Genomic DNA, 13,922 nt, shown 5'->3' on the forward strand with positions numbered 1-13,922 from the left:
GCTAATCTTCATAGTTATCAGTATATTCATTCTATAGATATACTCCACAAAGCTTTTGATTTCCTATCACTTTTTGTAAACAAGCTATCTGTTGTTGACTTAGATTTATAGCATAACTTGAAAGAATCAGCTTCTGTTGGCTAACTTTCAGTATGTCTCTTTGATAGAATGCCCATGTCTTTTCCAGCTGCCTGCTATTAACAACTGCCCTGAAGCTAAGTTCCTTAAGGCATACAACAGGAGTTATTTATTAACTAATTATATTCATTGCTCAGAATGGGCTCCTCATAATAAAAAAGGAAAAGGATGTATATTCTCTTGATACAACTACACTGAGCTGTAAAAACAGCTCAGTGTGTTTCTGTTTTTCTGCTTTGTTTACCTGACACTTTGGTTCAATCAAGAAGACTTTCAACCATGGTAGAAAAAACTTCCACCTCCTAAACTTCCTTTTCCAGAAATATGTGCAGGCTTTCCTAAGATTACATAGACTGAATGGCTACTTTTGCAAGATGATTGGCAATTTGACAATTTATAATAACACAATTTTTTTATTTATGCTCCACACATAAGAAATCATAAGCAACAAGTATAGAGTTATTCACCAAAACTGAACAGTTATAATGCACTTTTTCTGTAAATAAACGTAGGTACTGGGAATGAATTTCACAAGAAAAATAATCTCCTCCATGGATATTCATTTATTTATTAGAATTTAATTTTATAGAATATATATGGATCTTTCTGCCCCAATCCTCATATGACATAAAATTAAGAATAAAATTATAGGCCAGGCGCAGTGGCTCATGCTGCCGAGGTGGATGGATCACCTGAGGTCAGGAGTTCAAGACCAGCCTGGCCAACGTGATGAAACCCTGTCTCTACTAAAAATACAAAAATTAGCTGGGCATGGTGGCACACGCCTGTAGTCTCAGCTACTAGAGAGGCTGAGGTGGGAGGATCACTTGAACATGGGAAGTGGAGGTTGCAGTGAGCCAAGATCATGCCACTGGACTCCAGTCTGGGCAACAGAGTGAAACCCTGTCTCAAAAAAAAAAAAAAAAAAAGAATAAAAGTATTATTTTCCTCATTGGCATCTGCAGAGTCCATGCATGAAACAATGATACAAGGTTAGTAGTTTACATATATAATGTTTTTGCATGTGTAATGCTTGTGTAAGCACATATTTTTGGATATAGAATGGAAAACATTTACAATTAAGAAGAAAGTTTATCATATACTCAATGGAAATTGACAATTCTAATAAAAGATTAGAGACAGCAGGAAGCCAGAATTCAGGAATGACAGAAAGGAAGTAAAATTACAATAAAAAGTATAGGATTATCTTCATCCCTGGTTGGGCAAGGATAGTGGCAGGGTTGGGTGTATGTACCTCCCCTAAACCAAAGAATAATGGGTGCCTCTGAATCTGTTTAAATATTTGTGCATTCATACTCCTGTGCACACTTAATCAGCCATTGATGGCTATACAAAATAGGATACACATTCCCTTGCTAAATAATACAATAGTGATTTCATTAAACTTGTCATTATTGAAAATTGCATTGTAGGAAATCCACCAGCCAATCACCTTCGGAACCATTCAATTTGCTCATGTCCATCTAGAATGAAAGGCTTGCCGCACAGCTGTGTTTAAGACTGTGTAATGACTTTGAATCTAGGACACAGACTCTTTCTGCACGTCCAATCGATTTGTTAGGAATCTGATCCTGTGCTAATAGGGCTGTGTGCATTAAAATTCATTCTTTGAAAATTATATCTGAACTGGATGCTGCATACAGCTTTTGAAATATATCAACTTGGTTTTGCCTTTACTTCGTTTTCTAGAAGAGGCTATTTTTTTTCTTTGGGGAGACTACTGTTTTCAGAGGCATAAATTGAAGACTACAAAATGTTCACATACTGGTGCTGTGAATTTCTAAATTAGTACATGTTGGTTGTAAAGTAGCCAAATTCAAATACATGAAGGATATTCCCCAACTTTAAAGGAAGTCCATGTGGGCTCAAACAATGCATTCTTAACTAATTTTAGAATTGTGACGACATGTGGTGAGTTCTAACAGCAATTCCACTTGCCATGTAAGAAGTACTTGAAACAAGATTATCAGCCAAATCATAAACATAAACACCAGGAAATCAGGAATTCATGGTCACAAAAGAAAAGCAAGATCATAAAGTTCTCTAGAATACATAATCAGTTAAATAAACATTAAAATTTTTTTCCATTAGAAAATTCTTTGAAAACTTAAAGTTCAAACTAATTTATTAGCTGTCAACCAATGCTATGAGTTTCTTGGCTTTGTAATCATTTTATGTTATAGTTACGCAGTCTTTATTTTGGATGTCATGGAAATAATCAATATATTACTGCAACAGTCCAAACTTTGCCTACAATCATGTGACTCTAGCTTGTTTTTATAATGCTGTAATGCAACACTAAAACTCTACAAACCGGTGTTGGACATGAAGCAGTTCAAATCATAACAGTGAATGAAGCATAAAAATGTCATGATATGATTATCATTCCTCATGAAACAGGTGTTATAATTGTCATGTCCTGATTATCCAAGCTAGTGAAGAAGCCAAAATACTGTATACAACTACATTGATAATATCAAAATCTCATCTGACCCAGTTCAGTCAAATCCAGTTTCACTTGACTTTCACAGGAAGGCCTCCTGTGCTGGAGGAATAACCTTTCTTTCTTGTGCTGTGAAAGAGGCATAACATGTGGTTATCAGTTATGTGAATAAGTGATAACTGTGGTTATCAGTTAAGTGACTAAAGGTTAAACCACTAGACGATCAAGCAAAAGAAGCCAGAAAGGAGGCCTAAGCTGCAAAGTCCCTGAAGGCAGTAGCTATATTTTACAAACTTATCTTTCTGACCATCAAGCACATGGTTGTACAGATCCTTGGATATATTTTTTTGAATTGAGTGAATTGATTGGATTATGTAACAGATCACCCTGTTCAGGGCAGAAGTTCCTCAAATCAACCAAAACCATGATATTCGTATGCTTAGTCTTTCAATCATAATGTGAAAATGCAGGAGTGTTGTTTACTCTACCCTTTAAACCCCTTGAATCCTTTGGAAAATGAGACAGAGTAGAAATGAATGCCTAAATAAATAAAATTAGGAAGTTAAGTATGCTTTTCGTACTATTAACTGATTTCAGAATTCTAGGTTATCAAAGAATACTTCTTTGTCTATTTGTAATAGAAATATAGACACACTAGGTGGCTTTCATAGACTAAGAAAATGAGAGAAAAATCTTGAAGAATCTGTGGACTATAAATAAGGTTTGGGAAATGGACAGATTTCTAATTGAGAGAGAGAACTTTTGATGAATTGAATGTTCTGACTCTCTTCTGCATCCATGATTCTCTCTTCCTCCCTCTAATTCACAAAGTCTTCTAGACTGGCTAGATCCTTAAGATTCATTCACTGATGCTTCTGTCTGCTACTTTCTTTTTCTTTTAAAATGTAATTTAATTTTAAGTTCCAAGATACACGTGCAGGACGTGCAGGTTTGTTACATAGGTAAACTTGTGCCATGGTGGTTTGCTGCACCTATCAACCCATCACCTAGGTATTAAGTCCCCCATGCATTAGCTATTTATCCTGATGCCCTCCCTCCCTCCACCCCCACAACAGGCCCCAGTGTGTGTTGTTCCCCTCCCTGTGTCCATGTATCCTCATTGTTCAGCTCCCACTTATAAGTGAGAACATGTGGGGTTTGCTTTTCTGTTCCTGTGTTAGTTTGCAGGGGATAATGGCTTCCAGCCCCATCCGTGTCCTTGCAAAGGACATGATCTTGTTTTTTTTATGGCTGCATAGTATTCCATGGTGTGTATGTACCATATTTTCTTTATTCAGTCTATCATTGATGGATGCTTGGGTTGATTCCATGTCTTTGCTATTGTGTCTAGTGCTGCTATGAACATACATGTGCATGTATCTTCATGATAGAATTATTCATATTCTTTTGGGTATATACCTAGTAATGAGATTGCTGGGTTAAATGGTATATAAATTACCAGACACTCCTTAAGACAGTGGGAGTCAAGTATACAAGAGGAGAGTGTGTTGTTCACACAGAAAATCTGCTTTGCTGTGTTCACTCCGTACCACAGAAGGAGCTACTTTTGTCGCTGTAATTCATGTTACCTGATGTGTCATATATTAAGAAAATAATCTGCTGAATTATACATTCTTTAGAATCCAATATAATTTTAGAAATTTAAATACTCTGTAATTGAGCTTCTTTCTCTTCCTCAAAGGGGAATAACCAACTGATTTAACAAGTGGGGACATTTTTCTGCTTACTTTTTTCCTATATATTTATATTTTAAATCTAAACTTAAAACATTTTCTTATGGAGAAAGATGTAACAATACTTTCAATAGAAAGAAAATAAGCAAATAAATGAAAATAACCAGAAAACAGAAAATAACCACTACATACTTTCTCAAATCTGAATGATAGTTTAGGCCTTTAGTTTTCTGCACATATTTCTTATATTAAAAGCATAAAAATACCTTTAATTTCTTCAATTTAAATGCTGCTATTCAGTATAGGCTGTGTCTTACCTCTTTCTAAAGTGCTGACCTCTTGAGTGAAGGATCCATTTCTGATTATTAATAGCTTTGAATTATCTTTACTTTTTATTAATACTTGGTATATACACTTTTGATATTAGGTGACTTATACTTCATTGCACATATTTATGTCATGACCAGCATTTAAAACTTAACCATGTGTGTGAATATTAAAAAGTACTGAGCATTGTATAGCTAACTCTGCAGGAAGCTATATGACATATTTTAGTGTTTTCTAAGTCAACTATATATACTTTCTCAGCAAATGAGTGATTTATTTTAGATAGAAAGAAAAGGTTATTTAAAAAGAAAATTCTGGTAGGAATTTCCAAACACTAACAACTCATTGAAACTCATTTCACTTTTGCAAATAGAAAACACGCCTTAGTTTTGGGATGTAAATTTCATCATTGAACCAATTGAGTGCATTTAGCAAATTATGTTTTTAAAATCTGCTGCAATAATATAATCTCACAAACCTTTCATTTAATATTTACGTGTATCTACTTCCTTTGCTTCTGTCCTCATGTGAAGTGTTTGCAGACTTTATACTGTAAACTGGAATTCCATATACATTGAAGGTTTGTAAATCAAATTTTTTTGTCAGTCATTGATTCTCAGGGAGCTAGTTTGTTAAACTAGGTTGTATAACTACTAAAATCTGTAGCATGTTTCAGCTGGCTTGTCACTTAGACTGAAAGTCTACAGGCTACAAATACATTTTAAACAGATAACACTGCCATAAACAGGAAAAGTAAGGCACTTCATATTCAAGAGGAAACTGTTACGAAAGAAAACAGGGTTACAAACATATATATATTTACACATATATGTGTGTGTATATATATATTGCACTATACAGTCTAAATTGTATATGTCTGTTCTTGTAGGATCTGTTTAGAATGACATTTCAATTTTAAACAATTTATGAATAATGAGCTTCCCACTGAGGGTGGGCTGCAGAAACTTTGGATTAGGGTATGAGTGGCTCTCATGCAGATACACAAAAACAAACAATTCCCACAGACCTTGAGGTTTGAGCCATATCAAGTTATAATGAAGTAAACAGGTATAAGCACATAAGAGAAAATGATCACCTTGCTGGCCATGTGAGACACTTCTATGTATATGAAACAACTGAAATATTACCATTTCAAGGATCCCTGCCTTTCTTTTTCTTCTAAGAGAACCGCCACCTGCACAGTTTCTGGAGAACACTTCAGAAGATATCTTTTCACTTACCTGAAAAAAAGAACAACAACAAAACATTTAAACATCATTTCATGGTAAATTTGTTTTTGGAAACTTAATTAAAGAAAAAATACCTGTTTTATATAATAGACATGTTTCTACAATGTCGTATATGCATTGAAGTTTTGTAAATCAAATCTTGCTTTCCCCTTGTCCTGACATTACAGCTTTAGCTTATTTTTGAAAATCTGATAGTTCATTGGTCCTCCTACCTCATAAAATTATTTACATATCTTGCAAAAACCAGATTTTCCCATACTATATGTGCTCATTCTACCAGGACAAGGTCTCAATGTAATTCAGAAGGTGAAAATAAACTGGTCTCTTCATGATTTAATCATTTAATCAGTCTTTCATTCTTCTATTTATTCACCAAATATCTATTGACCCTTAATGTGCAACAGCCTCTTTGCTAGGCCTGGCGGTTTAACTGGAATCAAGACACTCTCTCTGATGTTAAAGATCTAATACTGCATATAATCATTCTTGTAGGTAATCTGTACATCTATCAAACAGGACTCCTCCTTGGTCTAGGGCAGGCTCAACAATCTAACACAGAAAAGTTTTTCGCTTGCCTTCAGTTTTATTCTCAGTTCACAACATTAGTGCAAAGACATGTCTCCTAGCCATGGTCCAGGACAGAACAGGGAAAGTCAGGGACACAGAGGTAAACTGCATTTGAGCAGGCTGCCAAATCATCTGCAGGGACTTCACTGCTGAGATAATAGATGTCCACACCCAGCTCCTAGCAGTCTTCCTGCATCAGTACCACTGTAGATGGCATTTCCCTGTGGCACCTTTCAGTGGTGCAGTGAGACCTTTAAAATGCCTCAAGTGAACTTTGACTCCCCCCGCCTTCCCACAAGAAGTCCCATCTCTCTTCATTGTTGACCTCCCATTATCACCCAGACATCATGCCTTTTATGCTGCAAACCAAATGATCCAAACAGGGTAGTCCCAGTCACCAGAGCAAAAGAGAAAATTACTTTCTGCTTTGGGTGAAAGCTGTATTGGTCTCTTGGGGATTTATACCCTGGCATTTCTTATCTGCCATTGGATGTTAACAGTGTACATTCTATCTTAGCATCCACAGTGAGCACTGGAAGCTCTTGGCTTTCATCCCACCCAATCTGAGAACAGGAACTGAGTTCTTTTCAGTGGGCATGTGACAAATGAAGCTGTTATCAATGTACAATAGAAGTTACTAAAGCTATCACAGAGGGTTGTGAGATGAGCAAAACCACATTATAGCACTGCATGTAGCTGCTGTTTTGGTGGAGACTGAGCCAATGCACTCTAGTAAATGAAAACGATTAGATGGGAATTGGTGAGTGAAGTGACTGCTAGAATGATTGCATTTTGAAAGGCAGCTAAGAGAGCAAAGAACAGCTTTCTGGCATTCTTAGATAGGGTTTAGTTGGTTTGGGTAGAAGAAATGTGTGTTCTTCAATGAATATTTTGAGATGTTTATTTCACTTATGTGATTTCCAAGTGAGTTAAGAGTTTTAAAAATGCAAGTTTCAGAAAGGTATTGAAAGTATATCTTAAGAGAGCTCTAAATGACTATGGAAATATAAAGTGCTTTTCCGCACACTCCTACACTTGCCCTCATGTTACCAAGAGACAATGATGACCTTCAACAAATTGCTATGTAAAATAGGTAAGCATAATTAACCCTATGTATTGGTATTAAGACAAACTAGATTATACTGTATTAAAAATTTTCAGACTGGCGAGAAAGAAAAATGTGGTGCCTCATGCTTATGTGGCTACTCAGGTCTTTAAATACTGGCTTTTCTTAGTCAAATATCTTTGGATTAAGTAATCAGACATACTCTGTGATACCCATGCTTGACCTACCACCATTGTGTTTCCTGGCCAAGTTATTGACCGTCTGATGGGAGGTGAGCTAAAGGCTAGTATGTTTCAATTTAGTCTCAAAGGGACCATGGTGGGGCTAGGAAAATAATAATAATGAAGCATGATGATTACTTTTACATTTACAAGGCTTCAAATTCTCTGGGAGCCAGCAATAGCTTTTAAAAGCTAATAGGCAGAGTCTGCTGAAGATGATTTTTGGTGGAATCAGGAGGAAAGACAACCTGATATTCTGCAGGCAACACTGTGGAGTGATTAAGTGCTCCACAGCTAGAATACCTGGGTTTGAAACCCACTCTGAATCTTATCAGCTTGGGTAAATTACTTAAACTATATTGACCTCAGTTTCTCCATCTATAATATGATAATAATACCTGTACCTACATCACAAAAGTGCTTAGCCTATGTCTATTCATGATAAAAGCACAGTACATGTTAGCTATTATTCTTATTTTTTCTTGGGTAATCTCAGTTGCATCTTCTTTGCTTCATCGTAGGGAAGATAGGCTTGAGATCAAAGTGAAAGTGTATTACACTTACAGAAGCTGTATTCTATGGTTGAGCCCAGAATAGGCTGATTGAACTTCTCTTAGGCAATAATAACTCAGGGAACTCACTGAGGGAGGGAGGTGGTGATGAGAGACGAGAATAACATTGATGCATTACAATTGTGTGGCTTTTACTGTTTCCTGAACGTTTTGCGGATATGCTCTCAATTAGTTCCTGTGAAGAGTTTGGGAAAGAGATATCATGAGAACATAAAGGAAATTATGGGTAGACGCTCGTGTAGATCCAAGTAGAATTTCTCAACTCACAGGGCAGGAACAACATTCTGAGTCTTAATATCCCTGGGGAGCATGAGTAAAACTTTGCTACTTCGGCCAGGAAATGAAATGAACAACTTTTTTTTTTTCAGGTTGTCACTGGCATGAAATGATGAAGTTTTAATAGTGTTGCAGTGTATAGATTATTTTCAATGGGAATAGAATATGTGTTAGGAGACAATAGGAAGGCGTGGCAGGTGAGCCTTTGTTTCTTGTACCTGGGGCAGGAATATAAAGGGAGGCCTATTGCCATATATCTAAATATTTGAATGTTATAAATCAAGGTAATAAACGGATAATAAAATACATTCTATCTTCCAACCTTGACAATTTATCTTTACATTGACTTGCAAGGTCAGCTTAACATTAATAATTCTTAGGCCACTTGGAGTTCTAGATCAGAACATGGTGCCACAAGAGGAACTGGCCCCAGCTCCGACCCCTGACCCATGGGCTTCCTCGTGTTTCTTCCCACCCCTGGCTCAGTCAACACAATGAGGAAACGCAACCATGTGGACACTCCAAGGCTCCACATCCAAGCTTTGTCTACTCTCCATGCTACCAACTTACCCTTGGACATTCCTTCTGGCCTAGAGATGTGCACACAAGTTATGGTGAGCACTTAGAAAAACAAGCCTAGGAAAGAGATCCATACAGATTCTGGAAGTGAGCTCAGGGATACTTGAGCAAGTAAATTTTAAATTCATCTGAAGTAGGATCATAGTCTAGAAGGGCTGGGGTGGGCCCAGGGTGGGCTTATCTCTTTGACCCCCAAGGATTTCTGACCCCCTCAGTGTAGGTATAACTGGTGGGGAAGATGTCCTAAAGCATGAGACTCACAGAGGGATCCCTCTTACTCAGGGATAATTGTCATGGTGTCTTGACTAACATTCACAACAGAGAAGAAAATAAGATTTTCTAAAAATAACCAAGGTCGTTATTGACTTGCAAGTGTATATTGAACATTAGCCATAAGAAACTCACTACCACACACTCTAACTGCATCCCTACTGCCTCTCTCATTGTTGCCATTGTTTTGCTTTTTTGCCCCCTTCTGATGTTGTAATTCTCTTTCAGTTTTCAATAGAAATGTTGCCACGTGGAGAGCATAATGAAGCAGCTGCTTAACAGTTGCAACTAAAAAACAAGACAGTTTAAACCAAAAAGTCTCCTCCAAGGAACCTTGGGGATATGAAGAAGAATATACCCAAATGGGGAAATGGCCAGGCATGGAAGCTAATCCTAATGGTTTCTCAGAGGTGTCATGGGATCCTCAACCATTGCCCATGATCAAGCCTTGAGTTTTAAGTCTTCACTGAAAGATGTAGCTATAAGAACCCAAGACCACAGTCTAAAAAGCAAACAGTTCAGTGCTGATTCATAAATGCTATCCCTGAAAGGGTGGTTTTCACAAAAGAGCTCCCATTGCAAGTTCCACATAAATCAAAATCATAAATAAATAATATTATGTAAGTACAAAATAGACCTAGCATCCCTAAGATAGTTTAATCAAAGCTTCAGGTATTCTGAGATCAGATTTGTTTTGATTTTCTTCAGGCTCCATTTTTTTACTTCATGATAATGAAACAAAAGCTTTTCTAAAAACAGACAAAAATTAATCACAGCTATCTAGGGTAAATGCCATTCACATTTCCTCAAAAAGTCACCTTGTGAACCTAATGTAATCAAAACAATGGCAGGAAAATGCTAAACTCTTGTTAAGTAACCATTAATTATTTATGAAAAGAGTCTATCACTTATAAGTAGATTTAACTCAGGCTGGATGGGGAGGAAAACCCTGAAGATTTTATTTACTGGGACTGTTGAAGGACAGTTGTACATCTGTATCAAAGGAAGCTTCCTACTCCTATGGAAATGCTGTGAAAGGGTAGGATTTAATCTGGCCTATATCATCTACGTGAATGAACCTGAGTAATAATATATAGCATGTATATATAGTATAGTGTGTATATATAAAAAGTGTGTGTGTGTGTGTATGTGTATATATATATATGGCATAGTATAGCATAGAAACTCTAATCTCAGCCAGTGTCCACATTGGCAAATTAGGAATGATCTGTGTAGCTGATAACTGTAAGAATAAATAACTATTACTAAAATCATTAAATGCTATAAGAGACTATACGAATAGTCTTATATTTAAATGATACTTTATAATTTTAAAACATTTTAATTAATCTCATTTGATCCATAAGACAACTTTGTGGGATATTGTGTCTAGGAAACATTCTCATGCCTCGCCATCTGTTTTCTGCAGTTTCCCTTTATTCCACCTATGAACTACAAATGGGAAATTAGCTCCATTGATAAAGAAGGGAATAGACACGGCAAGGACTTGATTTTTCCACCTATGCGCTTTCCACTAAGCCACAGTTTCTCTAATAGTCGTCTGTGGAATTTACACACGGAGGTGAACATTTTGTGTGGCTTAAATTACATTTCTACACCGGGAACCCTCTTCTCACCATTTTCTCCAAAATTGAAGAACAAGACTGTGGGGAAGAAGCATTTTCTTGGCCAATTATGGAAAGAAACGGGCTCAGGAATCTTCCCCTTCCCTTTATTTTACCTTCTGTGTTTGTATCATCTTCATTTTTACCCTTTTTCTCAAGTTCTTCTAATTGACTTAATGGTATTATTCATTTGTTCCAATTCCCTAAGCTTATTTATGTATGTATTTGTTTATTTTTACTCATTAGGTCCCTCAAAGTGTCAAATGAACTCCTTATCTTTGACTACTGCCTTATATATATTATATTTCTATTTTTTGATTCTTCAGTACTTGGGAACAAAACAAAATAAGCACAATGCTAGTGTCAGGGATTTTAAAACTATATTAGCAATAGTATTTAGTAAACCGTTTGTCATTTTTTTGCCTGCATATCATACCTCACTAACATAATTTACATCAATATTTAATTAATTTTCATGGTTCTTCTTTAAATTGTATCATCCTCTCCTCAACAAAGGAACATCAAACTATTTAGTCTATTTAGTCAGTTTCTTTGATATTTATCCCATTAGTGGCAATTGATCTTGCTTCTATACTTTTCCTGTCATCATTTACAACACTTCTGTTCTACAGATGAAGTTAAAGGAAATTAAGAAACTTTCATACAGCTAGTAAAAGACTGAGCCCAGAATTAATTCAGTCGCCTGATGAGAAAGACCTGCCTCTTAGCCACTCTGAAATTCTGTATCTAGGAAACATCTTCACTCTTGCCACCTGCCTTCTACATTTTTTCGTCATTCCATCTATAAACCACAAATGGAGAAAAGGCAATGAAGCATAAAGCAGAGGAAGGAAAAGGGATGTATAAATATTTTCTTCAATATTATAGCAATTGGTATGTGTGTAACAGAGTAAAGGCAATTTGCGTGCCTGTCCCTGGTGTTCTTTGCCAGCAATTCTGATTTTGCACAAGGCACAGAGCAGGCCCTGTGATCAAGGTCTTTTCTCACACATTCATGTATCTATTATCTAGGAACCATCCCAAGTTTAATTTCATTGAAATGCTATTCTGATCACACCCAGATTTTACAGGTAACGAACCTGGCTTCGCTGGGGCCACCCCTGAGAGCCGAAGGTAATGTGGGAGTCGCCTGTTAGCAGCTACATCATCTCGGTAACTATGTGCTCCACCACTCGCATCTCTTGCTCCCCTGTACCCCACCCCTTCTCGTTCCAGCAGGGATGGAGGAGAAAATTGCATTATATTTCTCGGCTCCATAAACTATGTCAATTTCTCTAGAAACAATATTAAATATGGTAATTTTCCCTTTCTTTTTCTTAATCCATTACATTCTCCAACCTCAGTCACAACGACCTTTGAAAGAAAACAACAGCAAAGGCGTCTGGGTAATGTCATTATGCTAATTTGCTGGCGCTAATCTGTAGAAATCAAAAAGTAGTTATTAGAGTGGGGATCACTGTAAAAGAAAACACGGCAAACCTTCCTCTCGGCCCTCTTCTGCACCTGCAGTCCACTTCAGTGAGCTTTTTCTTTGCAGATTGGAAACTGACCACGATCTTATATTCATGTCCTGCCTGCATTTCTCTCACCTTAAGAAGTAATTGGCAGGGTTAGAGTTGATATTCCAAACTCTGCCGAGAATACAGAAGAATGAGAACTCTGGCTGCTTTTCTGGGAGTCGGGTTCACAAGGTGATCTGAGAGTAACTGTCGTGACTATGCTTTGCAAAATCGGCAAAAATTCAGCACTTCACTAACCCTAATACAGCAAGAATCTGTAGAGCAGCTGAAGGTTAACACAACAATGAAAACAAACAAACAAACAGAAAAACTAGGTAATAATGCCACCATTTTTATTTCTCACACTCCTCAACCCCCACCTCTGATCCTAGGCTTTCCTGTGTGCCTGCTTTTCTTGCTATCAACAGAGATCTTTCACCTGCCCTCAGAGGCCTATCAATGCTCAGTCTGGGATCCTCTAGGAGCCGCCAGAAGCCGCAGAATCACAGAGCAGAAAGAGGCTCTAGAAAGCATTAAGTCTTAGTGTATGGGATCTGCCCTCACTCTCTGCATTTTCTGAAATGAAAGAGGAGAGAGCTGGCCAAGTGGAGCAGCTCTTCCAGTCTTGCTGGGGGTAGATCTGACCTTCCTCCTTATGAGAGAAAGGGATGCAAGGAAATACCAATATCCAAATATTCTCTTTGGACCCTTAAACTTGTTTTCACTTACTGCATTGTTTAAAAGTGTCTGAAAGAAATTATTTTGTATAATTTCTAAAGTATGATAATGTTCACACTGAACCATACTTATTTTAGAAATGACAATCCTATATATTCTAATTGGAATTAGGTATAAATAAATAGCCCTAATCTGTCTCATACTCAGACAGACAGCCAAGTTTGAAATTTGTCTAATAATTAGAGAAAAAAATAAAATGGTAAACCATGCACAGTGATATTTTATTTTGACATAGCTGCTCAATTTTCTTGGAGATATAAATGTGTTTAATCCATCTACATTCTCCCACATACATTCTGGCAAAATTGCTGCATTGTGACAGCAGAAATGCATTAATTACTTAAATGTTGCTTAACACTATAGCACTAAAGTACTTTATACAACGTGAAAGGACAGAAGGGGTTTTTACATATTGTCAATTCATGGGTGAGGTTAGTAGGCTGAAAGTAGCAGGAGGCAAATGTGGCTGAGGGTTAAGTGCTGTGTCTCAGAACACCTGTGTTTATTTCTTAATACTGTTAGTCATTTCTGGAACTATATTCCATGGTGAGGATTTTTTTTTTGGCGGGGGGGCGGTGTTGATCATTTTTGTTTTAACATTTCTGAATCTAGAAA

The 13,922-nt window shown here is 36.9% G+C and overlaps 1 long non-coding RNA gene across 1 annotated transcript in view, besides 1 other annotated feature; it reads right to left on the minus strand.

Moving 5' to 3' along the window:
* Positions 1-535: 535 nt before the first annotated feature.
* LOC124909415 (uncharacterized) overlaps positions 536-13,922 on the minus strand; it is a 274,299-nt gene continuing 260,912 nt past the window's right edge. The window contains exon 2 of the long non-coding RNA XR_007096015.1: positions 536-5,864. This is a non-coding gene — a long non-coding RNA (uncharacterized LOC124909415). The remainder of the gene's footprint in view (positions 5,865-13,922) is intronic.
* Positions 11,531-12,730: an enhancer, noted in NCBI's record as "BRD4-independent group 4 enhancer chr3:116733888-116735087 (GRCh37/hg19 assembly coordinates)". NCBI's record gives its function as "activates an origin of replication core promoter dependent on BRD2, P300/CBP, MED14 and CDK7 cofactors, and independent of BRD4, by STARR-seq in HCT116 cells {active_cell/tissue: HCT116}" and the evidence as "EXISTENCE:reporter gene assay evidence [ECO:0000049][PMID:35650434]".

The sequence above is a fragment of the Homo sapiens genome, chromosome 3 (genome assembly GCF_000001405.40).
Source record: "Homo sapiens chromosome 3, GRCh38.p14 Primary Assembly".
Taxonomy (NCBI): Eukaryota; Metazoa; Chordata; class Mammalia; order Primates; family Hominidae; genus Homo; species Homo sapiens.